Below are 26,447 nucleotides of genomic sequence, written 5' to 3'. Positions count from 1 at the left end.
TGTCTGATCCCAGATCTTAGAGGAGAGGCTTTTAATTGTTTACAGCTGAGTGTAATGTTAGCTGTGGGCTTCTCATATGGCCTTTATTTTATTGAGGTACATTCTTTCTATACCGAGTTTGGTGAGAGTTTTTTTTTTTTAATCATGAAAGGATGTTGAATTTTGTCAAATGTTTTTTTCTGCATCTAATGAGATAACCACATGGCTTTTGTTTTTCATTCTGTTAATGTGATGTATCAAATGTATTGATTTGCATACGTTTCACCATCCTTGCATCCCAAGAATAAATCCCACTCGATAATGGTGGATTTATAATGTGTTGTTGAATTTGGTTTGATAGCATTTTGTTGAGAATTTTTACATCTATGTTATCAAGAATAGTGGCCTGTAATTTTCTTTTCTTGTGATGTCCTGGTCTGACTCTGGGATCAGGGTAATGGTGGCCTTGCAAAAAGAGTTTGGAAGTATTCTCTCCTCTTTAATTTTTGGGAAGAGTTAGAGAAGGATTAGTAGAAGGATTAGAGAAGGATTAGTTCTTCATTAAATGTTTGGTTGAATTCAGCAGTGAAGTTGTCAGGTCCTGGGCAACTTTTTATGAAATTTTTTTTATTTCTGATTTAACCTCTTTATAGTCATTACTGGTCTGTTTAGATTTTCTACTTTTTCATGATTCAGTGTTGGTAGGTTCTGTTATCTAAGAATTCATCCATTTCTTCCAGGTTATTCAATTTATTGGCATATATTTATTCATAATAGTCCCTTATGTTACTTTGTATTTCTGTGTTAGCAGTTGTACGGTCTCCTCTTTCATTTCTGATTTTTAATTATTTGAGTCTTCCCTCTCTTTTTCTTAGTCTAGATAAGGGTTTGTAGATTTTGTTTATCTTTTTAAAAAACCAATTCTTAGTTTCATTGATCTTTTGTACTGTTTTTCTAGTCTGTACTTAATTTTTCTTCTGCTCTGAGCTTTATTATTTCCTTCCTTCTGCTAATTTTGGGCTTAGTTTGTTATTCTTTTCCTAGTTCCTTGAGGAGAAATCTTGTTACTTATTTGAAATATGTCTTCTTTTTTGATATGGGCATTTATTGCTGTAAAATTTCCTTAGAAGTGCCTTTCCTCTACACCATAAGCTTTGGTATGTTGTGTTTCAATTTTCATTTGTCTCAAGATATTTTTAAATATTTCTTTTAATTTCTTCAATATGCATTGGTTGTTCAGGAGCATGTTAATTGCCATGTAGTTGTGAATTTCCTAAAATTCCTCTTGTTCTTGATTTCTAGGGTTCATACTAACGTGGTCAAAAAAATACTTGATATGATTTCAATATTCTTAAATTTGCTAAGGCTTGTTTTGTGCTCCAACAGGTGATCTATCCTGGAGAATGTTCCATGTGTGCTTGAGAAGAATGTGTATTGTGTTCCTGTTGGACTGAATGTTCTGTGTATTTCTCTTAGCTCCATTTGGGCTAAAGTGTTGTTCATGTCCAATATTTTATTAATTTTCTGTCTGTATAATCTGTCCATTGTTTAAAGTGGGGGTATTCTCCAACCCCACTGGAAACAAAAAAAAATAAAGTGGTATATTGACGTCCCCTGCTATTATTATGTTGCAATTTATCTCTCCACTGATCCTTTAATATCTGTTTTATATATTTAGGTATTCTGATGTTGCATGCATATATATTTGTAATTGTTATAACCTCTTGATAAATGGATCTCTTTACCATTATATAATGTCCTCTTTGTCTTTTTTTTTACAGTTTTTGACTTAAAGTCTATATTGTCTAAAACAATATTTACAACTGTTACATTCTCTTGATAAACCCTCTCCTCTATCATTATTATAATTTCCTATTTTTTACAGCTTTTGAATTAAATTGTCTAAGAATAGCTACCCCCGCTATCTTTTGGTATCCATTTACGTGGAATATCTTTTTCTATCCTTTCACTTTCAGTCTATGTGTCCTTAAAAGTAAAGTTAGTCTCTTGTAGATAGCATATAGTTGGGTCTTGGTTTTTTTTTCATTCAGCCACTCTATGTCCTCTTTAAAGATTATTTAATCCATTTAAATTCATGGTAATTATTGATAGTAAAGACTACTGCCATTTTGCTAATTGTTTTCTGGTGGTTTTGTTGATACTTTGTGGTATCTCTTGCTATCTTCCTTTTTAGTTTGATGGCATCAGATTTTCATCAGTAATGTCCTTGGCAAATTTGTCAATGAATTTCTCTGCTGCTTTGTGATCAGATGTTTTATCACCACAAATCTTTAAAAATTTAATACCATTCTTTTTCTGTTTCTGCAACCAGCCTGTTGAATATTTGCAGTTTTTCAATTTTCAGTTCATTGTGCTAGATCTTTGCTTGTTTCATGACCAGTACACTATTACATGTCATATATTCACTTCAACACTGATGGATCTACTCTTTCAATACATGATTGAGGTCTTCATTTTTAGCTTTATGTAGTATTCTATTTTTCATCACTTTAAGCACGGAATTTCAATGGCTTATCCTTCTGTGACACAGGTCATATATGGTAGTCATTCTAGCACCATACTCTTTTGCAAGACATTTCACACTTACACTGCTGTCCAGTTTCTCCAATAGCATGACTTTCTGAGCTACAGATAAACATAAACGCTTCTTCTTTTTCTTATCATTGTTCCCAATGGGGCATCTGCAGACCATTTAGACATTTTCAACAATATCTTTATACCACAGAGCAGAGAATAAGCAAAGCAATAGAAAACAAAAACACGCAGTGATCAATGTATGTAAATCCTGGCCCCATGTGGGGCATTACAGTGACCTGCTGTTCATGCATCCAGCCTGCACACATGCCACTTTATTACACTTTGTAGGTGTGCTTGTGTAGGGGAATCTGGGTACGCACAGAAAAGATATATTGCAGCTGAATGGGCTGGGAGGGTCTTTTTCTCTTGAGGATGCTGAATAAACTGTGTGTTGTGTCCCTGCATTTTGAATGTGACTTGTCACATGAGGTCAGGTGTGTTATTTTATACTTGTGATGTCATGTCAGCACTCAAAAAGTTTTACACTTTGAATTTTCAGATTAGGGATGCACAATCTGTACTGATCTCAGGGACATTAAAAGCATAATAGAAAAACGTTATGAACAACTCCATGCCTGTAAATTTAATAACTTACATGAAAGAGATCAATTCTGTGAAAGACACAAACTACCAAAACTCATACAAGGAGAAATAAATAATTCGAATAAACATTTATGTATTAAACAGATTCAATAAAATAATCAATAACATTCCAAAAATGGAAGCACCAGGCCCACTGGTGAATTCTACTCAATATTTAAGAAAGAAATGATGTCAATTCTCTACGATCTCATCCAAAAAAATACAAGCAGAGGAAACGCCATCTAATTCAATTAATGAGGCTAGTATTACCCTAATACCAAAACCAAGTTAAGAGGCCGGGTGCAGTGGCTCACGCCTGTAATCCTAGCACTTTGGGAGGCCAAGGTGGGTGGATAACCTGAGATCAAAAGTTCAAGACCAGCCTGGCCAACATGGTGAAACCCTGTCTCTGTCAAAAATACAAAAATTACCTGGACGTGTGGTACACGCCTGTAATCTCGGCTACCCAGGAGGCTGAGGCAGGAGAATTGCTGGAACCTGGGAGGAGGAGGCTGCAGTGAGCTGAGATCACGCCACTGCACTCCAGCCTGGGTGACAGAGAAAGTCTCCGTCTCAAAAAAAAAAAAAAAAAAAAAAAGACATTACAAGAAAGTAAAACTTACAAACCAGTAAACATAGATACAAAAACCCTAAACAAAATATTAGCAAATTAAATCCAACAAAATATATAAGGAATTACACACTAAGACCAAGTGAGACTTATTCCAGGTATGCAAACCTGGTTTAACATTCAAAAATCAATTAATGTACTCCATCACAAAATAGTCTAAAGACTAAAAATCATTAATCATATAAAAAAGAATTAGAAGCATCTGACAAAATCCAATGCTCATTCATGATAAAAACCTCTCAGCAACCTAGAAATAGGGAGGAGCTATCTCAATTTTATACAGAACATCTATAAAAACCATATGGTTATCATACTTAATGGTAGGATATTAGATGCTTTACCCCTACGATCAAGAGAAAGGTAAGAAGTGCCCTCTCACTACTTCTATTCAACATCGCACTAGAAGTCCTAGCTAATGCAGTAAGACAAGAAAAGAAAGTGAAAGGTATAAAGATTGGGAAGGAAGAATTAAAACTGTCTTTTTCTGCAGATGACATGATTGGCTATGTAGAAAATCCCATGAAATTGAAAAAAAACATTCCAGACCATCCAATCAACCAACCAACCAAACAAACAAATAAAACAACTCCTGGAACTAGTAATAATTAGTGATTATAGTAAGATTGCAGGACATAAGATTATTTTAAGGTCAATTGCTTTCCTATATAGCAACAATGAACAATTTTAATTTGAGATTACATTAATGCCGAAAAGAGAAATACTTAGGTATACATCCAATAAAATATTTACAAGATCTATATGAGGAAACCTATACAACTCTGATGAAAGAAATCAAAGGTGTAAATAAACTGAGTCTTGGATAAGATAACTCAGTATTGTTAAGATGCCAGTTCTTACCAATTGATCTGTGCATGCAACACAATCCCAATAAAAATTCCAGCAAATTATTTTGTATTGACAAACTGATTTTTAAAGCTTATGTGGGGAGGCAAAAGACCCCAAATAGTCAACTCAGTATATAAGGAGAACAATATTGGAGGACTGACACCACCTAACTTCAAGACTTACTATACCGCTATGGTAATCAAGACAGCATTGTGTTGCAAAAGAATAGAAAAATCGATCAATGGAAGAGAAGAGAGCCCAGAAACAGATCCACACAAATACTGTCAACTGATCTTTGACAAAGTAGCATAAGCAACCAAATGGACAAAGAATAGTTTCTTTTTTTTTCAACAAATAGTGCTGGAACAATTGGATATCCACATGAAAAAATGAATCTAGACAAAGACCTTGCACTTTTCACAAAACGTAACTCAAGATGGACCACAGGACTATAACAGCAAAACAAAAAATTATACAACTTCTTAAAGAAAACAAGAGAAAATCTAGGTGACCTTGGGCTTGATGATCAGTTGTTAGATGTATCACCAAAAACATGATCTATGAAAGAAAAAAACAGGTAAGTTGGACATCATTAAAAGTAAAAATTTCTGTGCTACAAAAGGCACTGTTAAGAGAATGAAAAGACAATTCACAAAATAGGAGAACATCCTTGCAAAACACATACTAATAAAGGACTGGTATTCAAAATACACAAAGAACTCTTTAAAATCAACAATAAGAAAATAAATAACTTAATTTTAAAAATGAGTAAGCCTGTGATCCCAGCACTTTGGGAGGCAGAAGCGGGTGGACCACTTGAGGTCAGGAGTTCAAGACTAGCCTGGCCCACATGGTGAAACCCTGTCTCTACTAAAAATGCAAAAATTAGCCAGGCCTGATGGTGCATGCCTGTAGTCCCAGCTACTCAGGACGCTGAGGCAGGCGTATCGCTTGAACCCGGGAGGTGGAGACTGCAGTGAGCCGAGATCACGCCACTGCATTCCAGCCTGGGTGACACAGTGACTCTGTCTCAAAAAAAAATAAAAATAAAAATAAAAATAAATGAGTAAAGGATCTCAACAGACACTTAAGCAAAGAAAATATATAGATGGTTAAGTAAGCATATAAGAGGCTCAACATGTCATCAGAGAATTGTAAATTGAAACAACAATGATATACTACCACACTAATTATTAGAATGGCAAAAATCCAAAAACCTAAAAATACCAATTGTTGTACAACATCCTCATCCATCTCATTCATTGCTGGTGGGGATGCAAAATAGTATAACCACTTTGAAAGATAGTTTGACAGATTCTTTCAAAGCTAAATATAGCCTTACCATATGTATTAGTCTGTTCTTGCACTGCTAATAAAGATATACCTGAGACTGGGTAATTTATAAAGAACAAGAGGTTTAATAGACTCACAGTTACACATGGCTAGGGAGACCTCATAATCATGGCTGAAGGTGAATGAGGAGCAAAGGCATGTCTTACATGGTGGCAGACAAGAGACTATGTAGGGGAACTGCCCTTTATAAAACCATTAGATCTCATGAGACTTATTCACTATCACGAGAACACCATGGTAAAAATCCGCTCCCATGATTCAATTACCTCCCACCGGGTCCCTCCCCTCCCACGACACATGGGGATTACGGGAGCTACAATTCTGGATGAGATTTGGGTGGGGACACAGCCAAAGAATGTCACCATATGATCTAGCAATCATGCTCCAAGGTTTTTACCCAATAAAAACCTACGTCCATACAAAAACCTGCACAAGTATGTTTATACTAGTTTTATTCATAATTTCCCTAGATTGGAAACAACCAAGATGTCTTTCAATAGGTGAATATATAAACAAACTATAATGTGTCTGTACAATGGAATATTTTTTAATGATAAAAAAGAACTATCGAGCCATGAACATACATGGAGGAACTTAAAATGCATATTGCTTAGTGAAAGAAGACAGTCTCAAAAGGCTACATACTGTGTGATTCCAACAATATGACATTGTGGAATAAACTAAACTATAGAGACATTAAAAAGATCAGTAGTTGCTAGGGATTCAGAGGAAGGGAGACAAATAAAAAGTATGGGCATGCATAAAAAGCACATTTTAGTATGTGCTTTAGTATTTTAGTATTTTAGTATGGTGAAACTCTCTATGATACTGTAATAATGAATATGTGACATTTTGCATTTTTCAAAGCCATAGAACTGTACAATATAATGAGTGAACTTTAATGTAAACTATGGACTTTAGCTAATGATAATACATCAGTATGTTTTCAGTAGTTTTAACAAATGTGCCACATCAATACAAGACATTAATAAAAGGGGAAACTGTGTGCTGGGGAGGTTATGTGGGAACTCTGTGCTACTTCCTTAATTGTGCCGTGAGTCTAAACTGTTCTAATAAAGAAAGTCTATTAATTGAATTCCCTGCTCCACTCCTACTCCCATTCACACACACAGAGTAGGAGTGAAAACTGAATTTGGCTAACCAAATTCAGTAGGAGTGAAACTAGACAAGATACAAAGGAACAGTCAAACATGGCCAGCAATAGTATAGTGTCTGTGTTCATTTGCTTTGTGTTGCTATAAAATAATACCTGAGGCGGGGTCGTTTTAAAGAAAAAAAAAAGGTTTATTTGGCTCACAGTTCTTATGTCTGGACAAGTTCAAAATTGGGCTTCTGGTGAGGGCCTCAGGCTGCCTCTGCCCATGGTGGAGCTGGCTTGTACACAGATCACATGGTGAGAAAGGAAGCAGGAGAAAGAGGCGGGAGGTGTGGGATGCTTTTAACAACTATCTTTAATCGAGAAAGAACAAATAGAGTGGTAACTAATAGAGTGAGAACTCACTCATTACCATGAGAAAGGCACCAAGTCGATCACGCAGGATCTGCTCCCATAACCCCAACACCTCCCACTAGGCTCCACCTCCCAGCACCACCACACTGGTGATTAAATTTCAACATGAGGCTTGTAGGGGCCAAACAGCCAAGCTACAGCAGTGTCTAAATTGGACCTAATCAGACCTGAATTCAGTTATGCCTGTTACAATTTATAATAGGGATACATTGAAGCACCTCCATAGGCGGGCTTACTAGGTAGTGAGTGGTCTGTAAAACATATTGGGTTTTATGGAAAACTGCTGAGAAAACATACTGGGCAGGAAGTGAGAAGAAATTAAAGGTCTATGATAAATCTCTTCAAGTATTTGAAGAGGCAGTTTACAGAATTCTGTGTTGCTTCAGAGGGTAACATAATCCAGCTCAGAATAGGACTTATTAGAATTGTACAATAGGATGTTGATGCCTTACAAAAAAAAATAAGATGTTCTCACTATGTTGATGTATTCCTGCCTAGTATTGAAGGCTAGATAAAATTATCTTTACAAGATTTTTCAGTGAAGACACTTAGTTAAAAATAAGCTATCATATCATTTTTCATCCTAATTCTACTTAGATGGGGGTACTTAGTCAGAAAAGAATAGTGCCATCTGCATAAGGGTCAGTTCTAGCCAAAAGAATTTTTGAGGTGCTCTGCACACTCTCACTAGTTAGTTTCTCCATAATTGGAAATTATGCCCTATAACATCAACATGAATATATTTTTATACTAAAAATGTATAGGCTGGTACAAAAGTAATTTTACTTTTGCAAAAATTACTTTTGCACCAGCCTAATAATAGCAAATAATCAATTGTTCTTACATAGGGCCAATATTTTTCAATTTTATTAATGATCCCAACTCCCTTAGGAAAAGTAAATCAAGTCTTGTTAAATACATAGTTTTATTTTACATTATATACAGCTTAGGGACAAGCACTGATGCTGATTTCAGATATGAGGTCTAAATAAACTCATTTTATGAGACTACTACAAATGCACAGTGCTTGTACACAGCTGTTTCTAAATAGCTACTTGATTAATTGAATTGCTGAATATAGGGTTCAGCTGGTACATGCCTACTGTAAGCATATGCTTTGTTTTACTTGGAATTGGGTCACTGCATTGAGATACCTCAGGCCCTGCTTCCCTTCCTCCTATAAATGAGTGACTACTATGTGCTGGGCGCTTTGCTAGGGCTAGAGATGAGTACTGACTAAACACATGTTTCAAATTATTATAAATGCTACAAAGCAAAGGAGGTGACATTTGAGTTGAGATTTAAAGATAAAAGTAGGTATTAATTTGAAGGAGGGTGGATGAAAATTTTTCAGGTACAGGGAGGAACACGTACAAAGGCCTATGGTAAGAGAAAGGATGGCTGAAGAGCTAAATGAATCCCAGTTAGGCAGTGTTCAGAGAGCATTAAAAAAAAGTGGTTGGGATCAGATCACATAGAATCTTCCTGAAATATAGAATATTTTGGTCTTTATCATAGGGCAAATGAGAAACTACTAAAGGATTTTAAAGAAAGCATAAGAATATTTGCCTTTCAAAAAAATTGCTCTGGCTAGGGAGCAGTTTGTATAGCTACAAGTGTTCCCATTCTCTAATAAGACACCAGATCTCTAACTGTTAAGCCTCACCTCACCCTCCTCTGAGTAGGATAGCTTTGGAATTCTAAGAGAACATGGAGATATACTGAGGCTCAAATCCGGGAAATATAACAAAGTCCAGGAACTTACTTTTTTAGTTAATTGGACCAGACATACTACTTAGAAGATTTTGTTGTCGTTTTCTGTCAAGGATTTTGACTCACTAAATTATGAAAATATTCCTGTTTATTCTAAAAGATGGGATTTCTCTTGGACCTGGTTTGGGATCATCTCATTTAGAATCAAATTGTCTATGTTTGCTGTCTTTATCTTCTCAACTTCAATTCAAGGGTCTATAATCTTCTCTGTCCCCAAGTGTTCCAATGATGTTACTAAATACAAAAGACACTTAAAAATTTATTTGTATAGATTCAGTGAGTACATGTGCAGTTTTGCTACATGGATACATTGTGTAGTGGTGAATTCTGGGCTTTTAGTATACCCATTACCGAAACAGTGAACACTATAACCAATAGGTAAATTTTCAACCCTCACCCACCTCCCAACATCCCTCATTTTGGAGTTGCCAGTGTCTATTACTCTCTTTTGCATTAAAAGACACTTTACAAGTATCTTATTTGACCTGAGACCAATTCTTTCTAGAAATGCCTTTTTTCCCTGATTTCCATGACAATACACTTCTGGTTTCTGCTTACTTTCCTTGATGCTCTTCAGTCTTCTTTGGGGGCTTCTCGTCCTCTACTCAACCTTTAACTTGTGTCTTCTCATTCTACCTACTCTCTCCTGATTGCAACCCACGCTGACGGTGTATTAGTCTGTTATCACGTTACTATAAAGAACTACCTGAGACTGGGTAATTTGTAAGAAAAGGGGTTTAATTGGCTCACAGTTCTGCAGGCTGTGCAGGAAGCATGGCTGGGGAGGCCTCAGAAAACTTACAAGCATGACGAAAGGTGAAGGGAAAGCAGGCACATCTTCACATGGCAGAGCAGGAGAGAGAGAGGAAGAGGAGGTGATACATACTTTAAAACAAACAGGTGTCATGAGAACTCACTATTACGAGAACAGCAAGGGGGAAATCCGTCCCCATGATCCAATCACCTCCCGCCAGGCCCCTCCCGTAACACTGGGGATCACGATTCAACATGAGATTTGGGCGGGGACACAAATCCAAGCCATATCAGGTGGCTTCACTTGATCATCTATATAACTAATGACCTTTTACTCTGAGGTATTTCTCTCCAGCTCAGATTTCTATCCTAAGCAACAGATCCTCATAACCACCTCATAAACATCTCCACGTGACCATTCTTCAAATATCTTAATTCAATGTCTAAAATTGAACTCATGATCTCATTTCATACCCCTCTGCAAATTGGCTCTTTCTCTTCTTCCTCCTTTCCTTAGGCATCACCATCTACTCAGTTGTTCATGCAGAAACCTATACATCATCCTTAATATTTATCTCTCACCTCACAATCTAATTATGCTGTTTTACACATAAATCTCCTTTGCATCTTTCAATTTCTTTCCATCCCCATCTTAGTCCATTTTCTGTGGCTATAACAGAAAACTACAGACTGGGTAGTTTACAAATAATAGAAGTTCATTTAGCTCTGGAAGCTGGAAAGTCCAAGAGCATGGCACTGGCATCTGGTGAGGGTCATCCCATGGTGGAAGGTGGACACACAAGAGAGAGAAAATGGGGGCTGACCTTATCCTTTTTTTTAGGAGTGCACTGCTAAGATAATTAACCTTCTTCTATGATAATGGCATTAAGCAATTCATGAGGGCAGAGCCCTCATGGCTGGATCACCTATTAAAGGCCCACCTCTTAATATTGTTATAGTGGCAATAATTTCCAATCCATAAACTTCTGGGGGACACATTCAAACCATAGCAAGCCCCATTATCACCATCTTAATTTAGAGTGACCGCCATTATTCTTTCAAGTGAATTACCACATGATATGGTTTGCATCTGTGTCCCTGCCCAAATCTCATGTCAAATTGTAATCCCAGTGTTGCAAGTGGGGTCTGGTGGGAGGTGATTAGATAATGGGGGTGGTTTCTCATGAATGGTTTAGTACCACTCCTTGGTGCTGTTCTTGTGATAGTGAGTGAGTTCTCACCAGATCTGGTTGTTTAAAAGTATGTAGCACCCCCCTGCTCTCTCTCTCTCTTCCTCCTGCTCTAGCTATGTGACATATCTGCTCCCCCTTTGCCTTTGCCATGATTGGAAACTTCCTGTTGCCTCTCCAGAAGCAGATGCCACTATGCTTCCTACACAGCCTGCAGAACTGTGAGTCAATTAAACCTCCTTTTTTTATAAATTACCCAGTCTCAGGTATCTCTTTATAGCAATGCAAGAATGGACTAATAAACCACAATAGTCTTTTCAGTTGTTCTTTGCCTTGAGTGAGTTTTCTAAAGCACAAATATGAATATATCACTCCCTGGATTAAAACACTTTGATGGCTCCTCACTGTTCCTAGGATAAAGTCCAAATTTCTTAAACCTCATTTACAAAGCTTTTCTTGCCTCTCTTTATAGCTCATTTCTCATCATTCACCTATTTACCTCTACACTCCAGTCAGGATGAATAACCTTCAAGTCCCCTAGAACACTGACACTACCTCCCTTTACTTAACTAGCTCCTACATATCCTTTGGATCTCAGCTTGGATAGGAGAGTCTCCAAGAAATCTGACCTAGTGTCCAGCTTAGGTCATCCCCTCATGTTCTCCCATAGTACTCAGACCTTTCAACCGGATAAAGAGTAAACCCCATGAGAAACTGTCTTTTCACCATTTAATTTCTGTCTACTACCTAGAAAAGGGTTTAATATTTGTGAAATAGATAAATTAATAACTTGTTGCTTAAACCTGTTTCATGTTGTTCTTAATTTTTTATGTTTTAGTGGATGACAAGAATCTGTGATTTGCATATGCCCTGCAGAAGATAAGGTATGGATATTTAGGACTAGTCTATCGTTAACCAATGTGGATTACAGACTAATTACTTTCTGGACACTAAGAATAATTTAAAAATACCCCAAGATTTCAAAAGGAAATGAAAGAAAGAAAAGTAAGCAAAACTAACTTCATGAATTAATGTATCCTGGAAGGGGATGTTACATTGACTCTCATTACTATAATATCATTGTGGATTTCAGTGGTTTTCCTGGAATGCTGAAAAGAAGTGCTACTGGAAGCCCCCTGGCAGTTAAGTAAACATTTACTTGTGGTGAAATAATTCCTGAAAGCGGCATTTATTCAATAAACATTTATTGAGCAACTACACACACACAATTGCACACACACACACACACACGTATATGTAAACATATGTTTATATACTATATTGTCACATAGAAAATGCTTGGGGATACAACAGTAAACAAAGCCGATCAAAATCTCTGATCTCTCTTTTTTTTTTTTTTTTTGAGATGGAGACTCACTCTGTCACCCAGGCTGGAGCGCAGTGGCATGATCTCGGCTCACTACAACCTCTGCCTGCCGGGTTGAAGTGATTCTCCTGCCTCAGCCTCCTGAGTAGCTGGGATTACAGGCGCACACCACCACACCTGGCTAATTTTTGTATTTTTAGTAGAGACGGCTTTTCACCATGTTGGCCAGGCTGGTCTTCAACTCCTGACCTCAGGTGATCCGCCACCTCAGCCTCCCAAAGTGCTGGGATTATAGGCATGAGCCACCGCACCCGGCCAAAAATCTCTAACCTTATAGAGGTTTTACTCACCATTTTATCTTTAGCACCTCAAAGACTGCTTAATATTTGTGAATTAGTTAATTAATGTTTCTTAAGACCTGCTCACAATCTGTATTTCCTTAAGTCTTGATGGCCTTCCATTCTAGATGTGCTATTGCATAGCAGATCCCATAGATAAGGAAGAAAGGCTGTGATTCTCCCGAAGGTAACTTCTACTTCCGTTTACATTTCCTATATTAAAATCACTTCACCACAACTTATTATAATTGCCACAATGTTAGCCTGTGAAATTTGAAGGTTTCTTTATAGAGAATAGACAGGGAGTTATAAAAAATGATATTTATCATAATTTTGTTGATGATTTTGCCTACAGTAATTATAGAGAAGTGTTAATCATTTACACCAAGATGATCCCTAATTTAAGCAAATTATGCAAGTGCTGTATGCACTTTATTTAAAAGAAAACCAAGTTGTTATTTATTTCATTATATTTTTCAGCAGTTTTTCTGTACAATATGTGAAAATTGAACAGTTGAACAAAGTCAACTCAAGGTACTATCAGATTGCTTTATCTACAGGTTTTAGGGTTATAAAGATAAAATTAAGGTTATTGTTTCTTTGAGAGCTAAAGCACTTAGTAAAACATTCATTGAGGTTTCTTCTTTGCAGTCTGATAATGTTAAACATGCTTTATATCACATTTATAAGCAACAGAATTATTTCAAAAAATGTAGCTAATGATAAGGATGAATGTCATTTACTTTTGTTTTGATCACCAGGAAATATTGTTTACTTTACTTTAAAATTTATGTGAGCCATTTGATTATATGCCTTTTTTAATTAGCTTGAAGGAAGCAATCACTGGGGAGAAAGCGGAAATCAATTCTGATCTGATATTGATAGCTACTGTGCTGTAAACTATGTGTCCTTTCTAATTAAATGTAAACATGTTCAGTTCTAAAGTCCAGCAGCAATGACAACAGTTGCTAGGAAAGATTGCCTAAGTACTGCTCAACTGATTTGCCTGGCCTTTATTTCTTTCAAAGTTGTGCTTGTGCAATCATTGGTGGGGTGAATGCTGGTTGTAACTGACTTTTTTTCAGGTCATCTTCAGCGAAAAGATTTGACAAGAATGTAGAGTGCTCTACATGTAATACCTGAAGTTACTTATTAACTATGTCCTCCTGATAGCTAATCAATGGCATTGCATAGAGTGAAATTTGGTGCACTAAACTGCCCCCCTGTCCAAAGCCAAGTCTTGGTAAATATTTAATGGCTGTAAAGGTGTTTTGCTAGTTATCAAACTGATATGTTAAAGGATTCTTAAAAGCAACTTTATCTTGCCTTCCATTCCATAAATAATTTGCTCAGCAATATACTGTGTAGGTGTAAAAGCATTTGGATTATTTCATTTTATTATCTTCCTCAGAAAAAGAACAAATCAGAATTAATATAAAATCATGTTCACTTTAATCAAGTACTTTGTCACTTAAACATAAGAGGGAAAAATAACAACCACCAAACTTCTCTTTTGGTAAAATGCCAACTTAAAAAGAATAAAACAACCCAACCCCTTTCACTTTACTAAACACTACACTAGACTGGTTCAAAACCTGTTGTACAGCTGCTGTCATAAGGAAATGTTATAAAATTTCTGTTGCAAGACACTCTGGAAAAATCAGAAGACATTTGGATTTTTGCTTTTTATTCAACATAGTACAGGTTGGGCTTTGCCTATTGACTTTTTAAATTATCTGTTGAGCCCCTTGTTTTATCTAATTTAACTCCTAGCTAAGCAAAAAAACTAGCAGTTTTATTCTTTAAATAAATAAAACAAATATCCTAAGATTTAAGTTTTATTAGAATACTTGATAATTGCTTAGGTCCTGTCTAGAAATGAGTCTAATTTCTTTAAATTTACACTAATTTAATGCTTACAGATTGGGAAGGGAGTTAGTAGTACTTTTTATTATTATTCTGGCAGGAGAAATAGTTTAAATGTATTTCAATCTAAAATTTAAGACACTTACTAAAGATTGACTGACTTACGAGGTGGGAATTTTAATAGCCTAATTGTAGAAAGTCACAAATTACATTCCTAAGTATGAAATAAGTTCTGGTGACTGAAAATACTACATTGAATTAATGACTCTACAAGATGCATCCAATATCAAAAGGGTTAAAATTGAAAAAATAAAGAAAAAATTATTAGAATAAAATCATTAAAGTTCAGTTTTCAGAATGAACAAATATTACAAATTTGCCAGATTTGAGGTGATAATGGTGCATTTCTCAACACTAGGAAGACCTGCTTATTTTACCTTGTGTTGGTCTGAAAGGAATATTTATATATGTTTTTGCCTGCATAGCTGGTGTATGGAAGAGAAATAGTTTCCTACTATTAGTGACATATTAAGTTAGTTTTTAAGATGCTGTTGATGGTCTAAGTGTAATGTAATTGTTCCTAAAATCCTGTCTAAAGATTATTTCAGTATTGTATCACTTTGAAAGAGTAAGGCACCATGTTCCACCATGTTCCAACTTCAAGGAGTTTCATTTTGTACATTGCTGACCACAGTATATCAAAGTTCGGAAAGGCAGCATGGAATATTCATGTTTTTAAATTAGTATTTCTGGTTTATGCCTCCTGAAGACATGTCTATATTGATTTTGATCTCTGAAATGTTTATTATAAAGTTATTTTCCTACTTCTCAAATTTTGGCCAGAGATCAACGTCAGATCAGAACAAGGGAGAGGCCAGCAGATACATGTCTGGGGCTTCAATCTAAAATGATAACAAAACTTCACTGAAATAAGTTGAAAATATGATGCTAGTTAACTCAGGCTGCACAGGTAACCAATTACTCATGGAAATAAAAAAACAAAAATTTGTTACACTGATGCTAAAATAGGCACTTTAACAGGAAATTAAAATTTTTTTCTGGCACTGAAACACAATTGCTTATATGTGAAAAGATAAGTTGCATTAACTAACCTTTACCAGCCAGCTTTTTAAAAATTCATTTTTATTTTTATGGATTCAGAGGATACATGGGTAGTTCTGTTACATGGATACATTGCATAGTGGTGAAGTCTGGGCTTTTAGTACAGCCACCACCCAAATAGTGAACATTGTACCCAACAGGCAATTTTTCAACCCTCACCTCCTTCTTCCTCCTACCCCACTTTGGAATCCCCAGTGTCTATTATTCTCCTCTGTATTTCCACGTGTATCCATTGTTTAGCTCCCACTTATAAGTTATGAGAACACAGAGTAATTGATTTTCTGTTTCTGAGTTATTTCTCTTAGGATAATGACCTCGAGATCCATCTATGTTGCTCCAAATGACATATTTTCATTCTTTTTCATGGCTGTGTACTATTCCATAGTGTATATATACCACATTTTCTTTATCCAGTCATCCACTGGATGAACACTTAGGTTCAGTCCACGGCTCTACTAGTGTTGAGATAAATGCACAAGTGCAGGTGTCTTTTTCTTTGGGTAGATTATCCAGTAGTGGAATTGCTGTGCTGAATGGTAGTTCCATTTTTATTTCTTTGAGAAATCTCCATACTGTTTTCCATAGAGGTTGTACTAATTTACATTCCCACGAAAAGTGTATAGTGGTTCCTTTCCTCCACATCTTTGCTACCATCTTTGTTTTCTGACATTTTATAATAGCAATTCTGACTGGTGTGAGATGGTATCTTATAGTGGTTTTAATTTGCGTTCTTCTTCTGTTTAGTGATTTGAGTATTGTTTTCATATGTTTGTTGGCCACATGTATGTCATCCTTTGGGAAATATCTGTTTATGTCCTTTTCCCAATTTTTAATTGGGTTGTTTTTGTTGTTGTTGAGCTATTTGAGTTTCTTGTAGATTCTTGGTGTTAGTCCTTTGTTCAATGCATAGTTTACAGCAAATATCTCCTCTCTTCTGTAGGTTGTCAGTTTAATGTGTTGATTATTCCTTTTGCTGTCAAGAAGCTTTTTAGTTTAATTGAGTCCCATTTGTTTATTTTTGTTTTTGTCACATTTGCTTTTGAGGTCTTAGTTATAAAATCTTTGCTTAGGCTGATGTCCGGAAGAGTTTTTCTGAGTTTTACTGTAGGATTTTCATAGTTTCAGATCTTATGTTTAAATCTTTAATCCATCTTGAGTTAATTCCTGTATATGGTGAGAGAGAGGGGTCCAGTTTAACTATTCTGCATATGGCTATCCAATTTTTCCAACACCATGTATTGAATAGTGTGTCCTTTCTCCACTGTATATTTTTATCAACTCCGTCAAAGATCAGTTGGTTGTAGGCATGCAGCTTTATTTTTGGGTTCTTTGTTCTGTTCCATTGATCTATATGTCTATTTTTCTATCTGTACTGATATAATTTGGCTCTGTGTCCCCACCCAAATCTCATCCTGTAGCCCACATAATTCCCATGTGTTGTGGGAGGGACCCGGTTGGACATGATTAAGTTACGGGGGTGGGTCTTTCCTGTGCTGTTCTTCTGACAGTGAGTGAGTGGGTCTCATGAGATCTGATGGTTTTAAAAATGGGAGTTTGCTTACACAAGCTCTCTCTTAGCCTGCTGACATCCACATAAGATGTGACTTGCTCCTCCTTGCCTTCTGCCATGATTGTGAGGCCTCCCCAGACATGTGAAACGCTAAGTGCAATAAACCTACTTCTTTTGTAAATTGCCCAGTCTCAGGTATGTCTTTATCAGCAGCATGAAAACAGACTAATACAGTAATTTGGTACCAGTAGAATGGGGCATTGCTGAAAAGATACCCGAAAATGTGGAAGTGACTTTGGAATAAGGTAACAGGCAGGGGATGGAACAGTTTGGAGGGCTCAGAAGAAGACAGGAAAATATGGGAAAGTTTGGAACTTCCTAGAGACTTGTTAAAGGGCTTGGACAAAAATGCTGATAGTGGTATGAACAATAAGGTACAGGCTGAGGTGGTCTCAAATGGAGAAGAGAAACTTGTTGGGAACTGGAGAAAAGGTCACTCCTGTTATGTTTTAATAAAGCGACTGGCAGCATTTTGTCCCTGCCCTAGAGATTTGTAGAACTTTGAACTTGAGAGACATGATTTAGGGTATCTGGTGGAAGAAATTTCTAAGCAGCAAAGCATTCCAGAGGTGACTTGGGTGCTGTTAAAGGCATTCAGTTTCAGAAAGGAAACAGAGCATAAAAGTTTAGAAAATTTGCAGCCTGACAGTTCAATAGAAAAGAAAATCCCATTTTCTGAGAAGAAATTGAAGCCAGTTGCAGAAATTTGCATAAGTAGCTTGGAACCAAATGTTAATCCCCAAGACAATGGAGAAATGTCTCCAGGACATGTCAGAGGTCTTCACAGCAGCCCCTCCCATCACAGGCCCACAGGCCTAGGAGGAAAAAGTGGTTTTGTGGGCCAGCCCCAGGGTCCCCGTGCTGTGTGCAGCCTAGGGACTTGGTGCCCTGCATCCCAGCCACTCCAGCTGTGGCTGAAAGGGGCCAATGTAGAGCTCAGGCCATGGCTTCAGAGGGTGCAAGCCTCAAGCCTTGGCAGCTTCCACGTGGTGTTAAGCCTGTGAGTGCACAGAAGTCAAGAATTGAGGTTTGGGAACCTCTGCCTAGATTTCAGAAGATGTATGGAAATGCCTGGATGCCCAGGCAGAAGTCTGCTGTAGGGATGGGGTCCTCATGGAGAACCTCTGCTAGGGCAGTGCAGAAGGGAAATGTGGGGTGGGAGCCCCTACACAGAGTCTCTACTAGGGCACCATCTAGTGGAGCTGTGAGAAGAGGGCCACTGTCTTCCAGACCCCAGAATGGTAGATCTACTGACAGCTTGCACTGTGTGCCTAGAAAAGTTGCAGACACTCAACACCAGCCCATGAAGGCAGTTGGGAGGGAAGCTGTACCCTGCAAAGTCACAGGGTGGAGCTGCCTGAGACTCTGGGAACCTACCTCTTGCATCAGCATGACCTGGATGTGAAACATGGAGTCAAAGGAGATCATTTTGGAGCTTTAAGATGTGACTGCCTCACTGGATTTTGGACTTGCATGGGTCCTATAGCCCCTTTGTTTTGGCCAATTTCTCCCATTTGAAATGGCTGTATTTACCCAATGCCTGAACCCCCATTGTATCTAGGAAGTAACTAACCTGCTTTTGATTTTACCAGCTCATAAGCAGACTGTTTGGGGGACTGTTCTGAAGGCATGATTGGTTTTGAAATGTGAAGATATGAGATTTGGGAGGGGGCCAGGGGCAGAATGATATAGTTTGGCTCTGTGTCCCTACCAAAATCTCATCCTGTACCTCACGTAATTCCCATGGGTTGTAGGAGGGACCTGGTGGGAGATGACTGAATTATAGGGGAGGGTCTTTCCTGTGCTGTTCTTATGATAGTGAATGGGTCTCATGTGATCTGATGGTTTTAAAAATGAGAGTTCCCTTGCACAAGCTCTCTCTTTGCCCACTGACATCCACATAAGATTTGACTTGCTCCTCCTTGCCTTCTGCCATGATTGTGAGGCCTCCCCAGCCATGTGGAACTGTAAGTCCAAAAACCTCTTTCTTTTGTAAATTGCCCAGTCTCAGGTATGTCTTTATCAGCAGTGTGAAAACAGACTAATACAAGTACCATACTGTTTTGTTTACTATAGCCTTGTAGTATAATTTGAAGTCAGGTAATGTGATGCCTCCACCAGCTTTGTCCTTTTTGCTTAAAATTGCTTTGGTTATCCAGGCTCTTTTTTGGTTGCAAGTGAATTTTAGGAGTATTTTTTTCTAATTCTGTGAAATATGATGCTGGTAATTTGATAGGAATTATGTTGAATCTGTATATTCCTTTGGGGAATATGATCATTTTAATGATATTGATTTCTTTGATCCATGAACATGGCATGTTTTTCCATTTGCGTCACCTAGAATTTCTTTCTTCAGTGTTTTGTAGTTCTCCTTGTAGAGGTCTTTCACCTTCTTGGTTAAGCATATTCCTAGGATTTTATTTCTTGTGTGGCTATTGTAAATGGGACTGAGTTCTTGATTTGGTTCTCAGCTTGAATGTTATTGGTATATGGAAATGCTACTGATTTTATACATTGTCTTTGTATCCCGAAACTTTACTGAAGTCATTTATCAAATCTAGGAGTCTTTGGGAGGTGCCATCAGGGTTTTCTAGGTGTAAGATCATGTCATCAGTGAACAGGGATAATTTAATTTCCTCTTTTCCAATTTGGATGCCTTCTATTTCTTTCTCTTGCCTGATTGCTTTGGCTAGAATTTCCAGTATTATGTTTAATGGGAGGGGTGAAAGTGGGTGTCTTGTTCTGGTTCTTAGGGGAAATGCTTTCAACTTTTTCCCATTCAGTAAGATATTGGCTGTGGGTCTGTTGTATATGGCTCTTATTATTTTGAGGTATGCTCCTTCAAGGCCTAGTTTGTTGAAGGTTTTTATCATGAAGAGATGTTGGATTTCATCAAATGCTTTTTCTTCACCTATTGAGATGATCATAAGGTTTTTGTCTTTAATTCTGTTTATGTAGTGAATTACATTTGTTGATTTGCATATGTTGAACCATCTTTGCCTCCCTGGAATGAAACCCATTTGATTGTGGTGTATTAACTTCTTGATGTGCTATTGGATTTGCTTTGCTAGAATTTTATTATTATTATTATTATTATTATTATTTTACTATTATTTTGAGATGGAGTCTTGCTGTCATCCAGGCTGGAGTGCAGTGGCACAATCTCAGCTCACTGAAACCTCTGCCTCCCAGGTTCAAGCAATTCTCTTGCCTCAGCCTCCTGAGTAGCTGCGGTTACAGGCACCTGCCAGCCACCATGCCCGGCTAATTTTTGTATTTTTAGTAGAGACAGGGTTTCACCATGTCGGCCAGGCTGGTCTCAAACTCCTGACCTCAACTTATCTGCCCACCCCGGCCTCCTAAAGTGCTGGGATTATAGGCATGAGCCACCACGCCCACCCAGCCTGTTTGCTAAAATTTTGTAGCAGATTTTTACATCTATGCTTTTTAGGGATGTTGGCCTGTAGTTTTCTTTGTGTGTATGTGTCCTTCCCTGGCTTTGCTATTAGGGTGATGATGGTTTCATAGAACGGGTTAGGGAGAAATCCCTCCTCTTCAATTTTTTAGAACAGTTTCAAGAAGATTGGTACCAGCTCTTCTTTGTACATGTACTAAAATTTGTCTGTGAATCCTTCTGGTACTAGGCTTTTTGTTGTTGTTGGAAAAATTTTCATTACTGTTTCAATTTTATTACTCATTACAGGTCTGATCAGGGTTTCTATTTCTTCGTGGTTCAATCTGGGGAGGTTGTATGTTTCCAGGAATATATCCATTTCCTCTAGGTTTTCTAGTTTGTGTGCACAGAGGCACTCAGTATTTCTGATGATCTTTTGTACTTTTTTGATATCAGTTGTATTGTCACCATTATCATTTCTGATTTTACTTATGTGAATCTTCTCTCTTTTGTTATTGGTTATTCTAGCTAGTCGTTTATCAATTTTGTTTTTCTTTTCAAATAACCAACTCTTCATTTTGTTGATTCTTTGATTCATTTTTTTCATCTCAGTGTCATTTAGTTCTGCTCTGAGCTTTGTTATTTCTTTTCTTCTGCTAGCTTTGGATTTAGTTTCTTCTTGTTTTTCTAGTTCCTAGGGGTGAGGTGTGGCATTAGGTTGTTAATTCAAGACCTTTTTATCTTTTTGATGTAGACATTCAATGCTATAAACTTTCCTCTTAGCACTGCTTTTGCTGTATCCCAGATTTGGTATGTTGTGTCTCTATTTTCATTTGTTTCAATAACTTTTAAGTTTCTCCCTGAATTTTGTCATTTATCCAAGGATCATTCAGAAACAAACTGTTTATTTTCTATTTATTTATTTATTTATTTATTTATTTATTTATTTATTGACAGTCTCTCTCTGTTGCCCAGGCTGGAGTGCAGCGGCACAATCTCGGCTCACTGCAACCTCTGTCTCCCAGGGTTCAAGTGATTCTCCTGCCTCAGCGTCCTAAGTAGCTGGGACTACAGGCATGTGCCACTATGCCCAGCTAAGTGTGTGTGTGTCTGTGTGTATGTGTGTGTGTGTATTTTTTTTTTAGTAGAGACGGGGTTTCCCCATGTTTGCCAGGCTGGTCTCAAACTCCTGACTTCAAGTGATCCTCTCACTTTAGCCTCCTGGCATTACAGGCATGAGCCACTGTGACTGGCTTCAGTGTATTTACATAGTTTTGATAGTTCCTCTTGGTATTGATTTCTAGTTTTATTCCACTGTGGTCCAAGAAGAAAATACTTGGTATGATGTCCATTCTGTTGAATTTATTAAGACTTGTTTTATGGCCCAACATATTATCTATTGTGTAAAATGATCCATGTACAAATGAGAAAAATGTATATTCTGCCATTGTTGGATAGAATGTTCTGAGAATGTCTATTAGTTTCATTTGGTCTAGAGCTTAGCTTAAGCCCAGAATTTCTTTGTTGATTTTCTGCCTCAGTGATCTATCTAATGCTGGCATTGGGATGTTGAAGTCTTCCACTATTATTGTATTGCTGTTTATCTCTTTTTGTAGGTCTAGGAGTATTTGTTTTACAACTCTGGGTGCATATATATTTAGGATAGTTACATCTTTTTGTTGAGTTGAACTCTTTATTATTATATAATGACTTTATCTTTTTTTTTTACTGTTTTTGATTAATGTCTGTTTTATCTGATATAAGTATAGCTACTCTTGCTCATTTTTGTTTTCCATCTGTATGGTATATCTTTTTCAACCCATGTCTGAGTGTATGAGTGTCTACCCATGAAAAACATGGGGTTTTCAACCCATGTTTAAGTGTATGAGTGTCTATCCATGAGGTGGGTTTCTTGCAGGCAGCAAATGCTTCAGCCAGGTAACTTGTGAACCCAAATAATTTGTGGTGTGATACTACAGGTGATTTAGTTATATGTTTCCTCAGAAATTGTCTGATTTGGGTAATTACAAAAGACAAGAACAAGGACATATAGGAATACATACAAGGAGCACTTAACCCAGATTAAGTCTTGAAAAAGGAGTAAGAGTTAAACAAGGAAAAATAAAGGGTGTTTCAGGTAGAAAAGGTCATGTGTATCAGCATGGTGGTATGAGAAAATCTTTGCTGAAAATATTTAGTTCATTATGGGATTACAAATATGGCTAGTGCTAAATAGAAACTTGCAGAGTAGAGCACAAGTACCAACTTGTAGAGTAAGGTGAGTGAGGGAGAGAAGATTATCCTGAGGAAAGGATAGTGTCCTCATCTCACTACTGCCAAGTGTTTTGTGAAACCAAGAAAATAATAACCCATTTTCTGATTGCTGGAAACCCAGTGTGTGGAAACTTTTGAGTCTGGTTGAAGCCATGTCTATTCTCATTTATTCAGAGCACCTACTTTGTGCCAGACTGTTCAAGGCACTAAGGAAAGAGCAATGAATGAGAAAGATCAAGAACCTACTTTTGTGGTACTTTCAGAATGAAGATTTTATCCAGATTTAGGAAACACCCACTTGTAGGTAAAGTCCCTTTCTGGAGAGCTCACCTACAGCCCTGGTCTAAGAGGCTCTTATCTCTCATGAATTTTCTACTGTATACTCTACACCAAAGTCCCCAGATGCCAATTCTTTATAACAAATGCTTTATTTCAAATTTTATCTTTTCATGACGAGTCTTTTTACATTATGTATAGCTCTAAAATAAATTATCAACAAAGTATATATTGCTGCAATATGTCCTTTTCAATAGTAAAGATATATCCAATTATTATGCAAATATTAAAAAGGATATTAGTTACAATTTTCAAGAACTAGTCAACTGTAAAAACAATTCCTTGAAGGTTGTCTGTAGAGTGAGTTTTCATATGTTCATACTTTATTCCAAAAGATTCTATATTTTTATAAGAAAATAAAATTACAATGAGCTTTTTTCATATTAAGAAAAGGTCTGAAATGTAAACACTAGATTTTGTAGTACTTCAATATCTCTGTCTACCTTCTGGTAATCACTGCCTATATGAAATTTACTTTTGGAAGTGACAAATACAACTACGAGATCTCTTTGAAACAAGTCAATAATAAACACACATAAGCCAATCTAACAAGCAAATTTAAATTAAATTAAATTTTAATTTAGCAGGGTAATGTTTATTGCCCTTATAATTCCATATTTACCTGGCTTGGGATTGAAATAGTGGATTACGGCAAGATAGCAATGATGCTGAGCTTACAAAGAATGTTAGGGTCTTTTCACTAATAAAAATTGTATTTCCTTTATCTGAAAAATTCATAGGTACAATATGCTTGTTTTTCATTTAATACGTGTCTATTATGGCTTTGTGTAGAACTTACCCATAATATAAGTATGAACAGGGTCCCAGGCTATAATTTGTTCTTCATCTGGGGAATATACTATGGACAGGTATCATTTAGCAACATTTATTTAGGTTGAGGAATATGTATCTGACTTGTTAACTATTCAAGAAAATATACATTATTTAAAAGATAGATTCAATTATGGAATATATGAAAGAAGACTAATTTGGATAGGCAAAGGACTGAAAACTGACCTATGTCTTATTTATTTTATTCCTGCAACGAGTATGATAACTTCACAAAAAAGTTACCAATATTAATATCACGTAGAAGAAACCTTCTTCTACGTGATATTGATAAGACCAAGGATTCTACAATAACGCTGTCAGCACATCCTATATTTTTGCAATTTATTGAAACACAATTGAATAACAGAATATAACAAATAATTAATTTAATGGGAAAATAACATATAAATATAATAAATCCCATTTGGTAAACATAGACTTACTAAATCTGAGCTATTAAGGAGATTATTGACATCACAATGAAACACATTTAAAAAATTAAAATCACGTAATTTTCACAGAACACCACCAAATTTCTGAAAGTGCATGAAGAAAAAAATTCATATCTATAATATAAACACATTAGTTGCCCTAGAGTTATAAACTCAGTAAGAGCATCCTTGCCTTAAGAAACTCAAAGTGCAACTTGAGAAGGCAGATAATAATCGAATTTGGGAGCAGAGAAGCAGCACACCTAATTTGACTGGTGAATGAGAGGGGAGAGTGGCAGTAAGTTATTTACAAGAGAACAGTTCCTGAAAAAAAGCATGAGGCAGCATGAGCAAAAGTATACTGGTGAGAAAAATAACAGTATACAGATAACTAAAGCAGTTTGGCCTCAAGTACACGACAAGAGCAAAAGATGAAGACAAAGAGGCAGTCATGGGTTAGATAATGAGAAGGCTTTAAAACTATAATATTATCCTGTGGAAATGGAAGACTATTATTGAATGGTTTTAAGGTAAATGGCAGTCAAGAAAGAGTGAGGAATGAATTTGAAGAGAACAAAATCAGGTGTAGAGAAATTATTTAGGGAGCTATTTCTGTAGTTTCAAGTGATATATAATGAAGATCTGAATAGGATATTAGTATTAACGATTAAAAGAGAAAACATATTCAACAAATATTTAAGAAGTAAAATTGATGCAATTTGTTGACTCATAGTAATTCAGAAGAAAGAGCAGTTTTAAAAAGGACATTGCTGCCTTCCATTTTATACATTCTGAATTGGGTTTACCATGAAATATCAACTGAAAATGTCCAGCAGATAGTTTTGATGTACAAACTGAAACTAAAGAGAGAGAGATGTGGCTTCTGCATTTGGGAGTCATCAGCATACAGGTTGGGGTTAAAAAATCCAGAGGAGTATGTAGAGGCAGTTCAAGGAAAAGACATATGATAATTATTATCACAAACAGTGAAAAAAATTCCTATAAGATGGTTACAATATATCACAGTAAGAATTTTTTATAATCGATATTGCCCTTTTTCTGGTATTCTAAATGAAATAATCAGAAACAATTATCAGCTACCTCCCATGTGCTCAGTACTGAGAGAAAAACGAGAGAAGTAAAATTTATTACCTAGTTAATACTTTGACAATACTTTATTTACCACATGGATTTATACATACATGCTTCTTTATGCTTCATATGATGAAAACTCTCATATCACAATAGGCACTTTATATATTTTCATTCTGTTTTTATAATAGGATACTTTTATTATCAACTGTCAGCAGCAGGATCATGAACCATGATTGAAAGTTGAAAACAATATGGGATTTGTAGTAAAAACTTGGGCTGTTTCATTCAATATCACTATGACTTTGGGGAAATTACTTAACTGAATTTTAGATTTCTCAATTGTAAGACAGATAATACTGCTTATTTCACACAGCTGTTATGAGCATCAGCTCAAATTATAAATATAAAAGGACTGCCAAAAATAAGGTCTATGTAAGTGTTAGCTAACACTATCACTACACCTTCTGTGGTAGACTGCCTAGGCAGTATGGGAAATTGAGGGTTAGAAGATCCACATCAAGACTGCCAATTAAGATTGGCCTCAGAGAAGACCAAACTCAGGGAGCACCCTGAGGCCTGTAATCCAGTTGGAGTAAGGAATCTGGAGCCATGAGCATAGCTCTGGTC

At 36.6% G+C, this 26,447-nt stretch overlaps 1 protein-coding gene across 13 annotated transcripts in view, besides 2 other annotated features; it reads right to left on the bottom strand.

Annotated features, from left to right (window-relative positions):
- The window catches only part of MIPOL1 (mirror-image polydactyly 1), a 354,425-nt gene that overhangs the window by 71,709 nt on the left and 256,269 nt on the right, over window positions 1-26,447 (bottom strand). The window lies entirely within an intron of this gene.
- Window positions 13,754-13,898: an enhancer, noted in NCBI's record as "145 bp enhancer 271 fragment used in the MPRA reporter construct; PK_construct_1061". NCBI's record gives its function as "activates an SV40 promoter by MPRA in HepG2 cells {active_cell/tissue: HepG2}" and the evidence as "EXISTENCE:reporter gene assay evidence [ECO:0000049][PMID:23512712]".
- Window positions 13,820-13,831: a transcriptional cis regulatory region, noted in NCBI's record as "FOXA motif; enhancer activity is reduced when this motif is scrambled". NCBI's record gives its function as "necessary for full MPRA enhancer 271 activity {active_cell/tissue: HepG2}" and the evidence as "EXISTENCE:site-directed mutagenesis evidence [ECO:0005528][PMID:23512712]".

This window comes from Homo sapiens, chromosome 14 (genome assembly GCF_000001405.40).
Source record: "Homo sapiens chromosome 14, GRCh38.p14 Primary Assembly".
NCBI lineage: Eukaryota > Metazoa > Chordata > Mammalia > Primates > Hominidae > Homo > Homo sapiens.
Note: the sequence above shows the minus strand (reverse complement) of the source record. Positions and strands in the feature narration are given on the sequence as shown.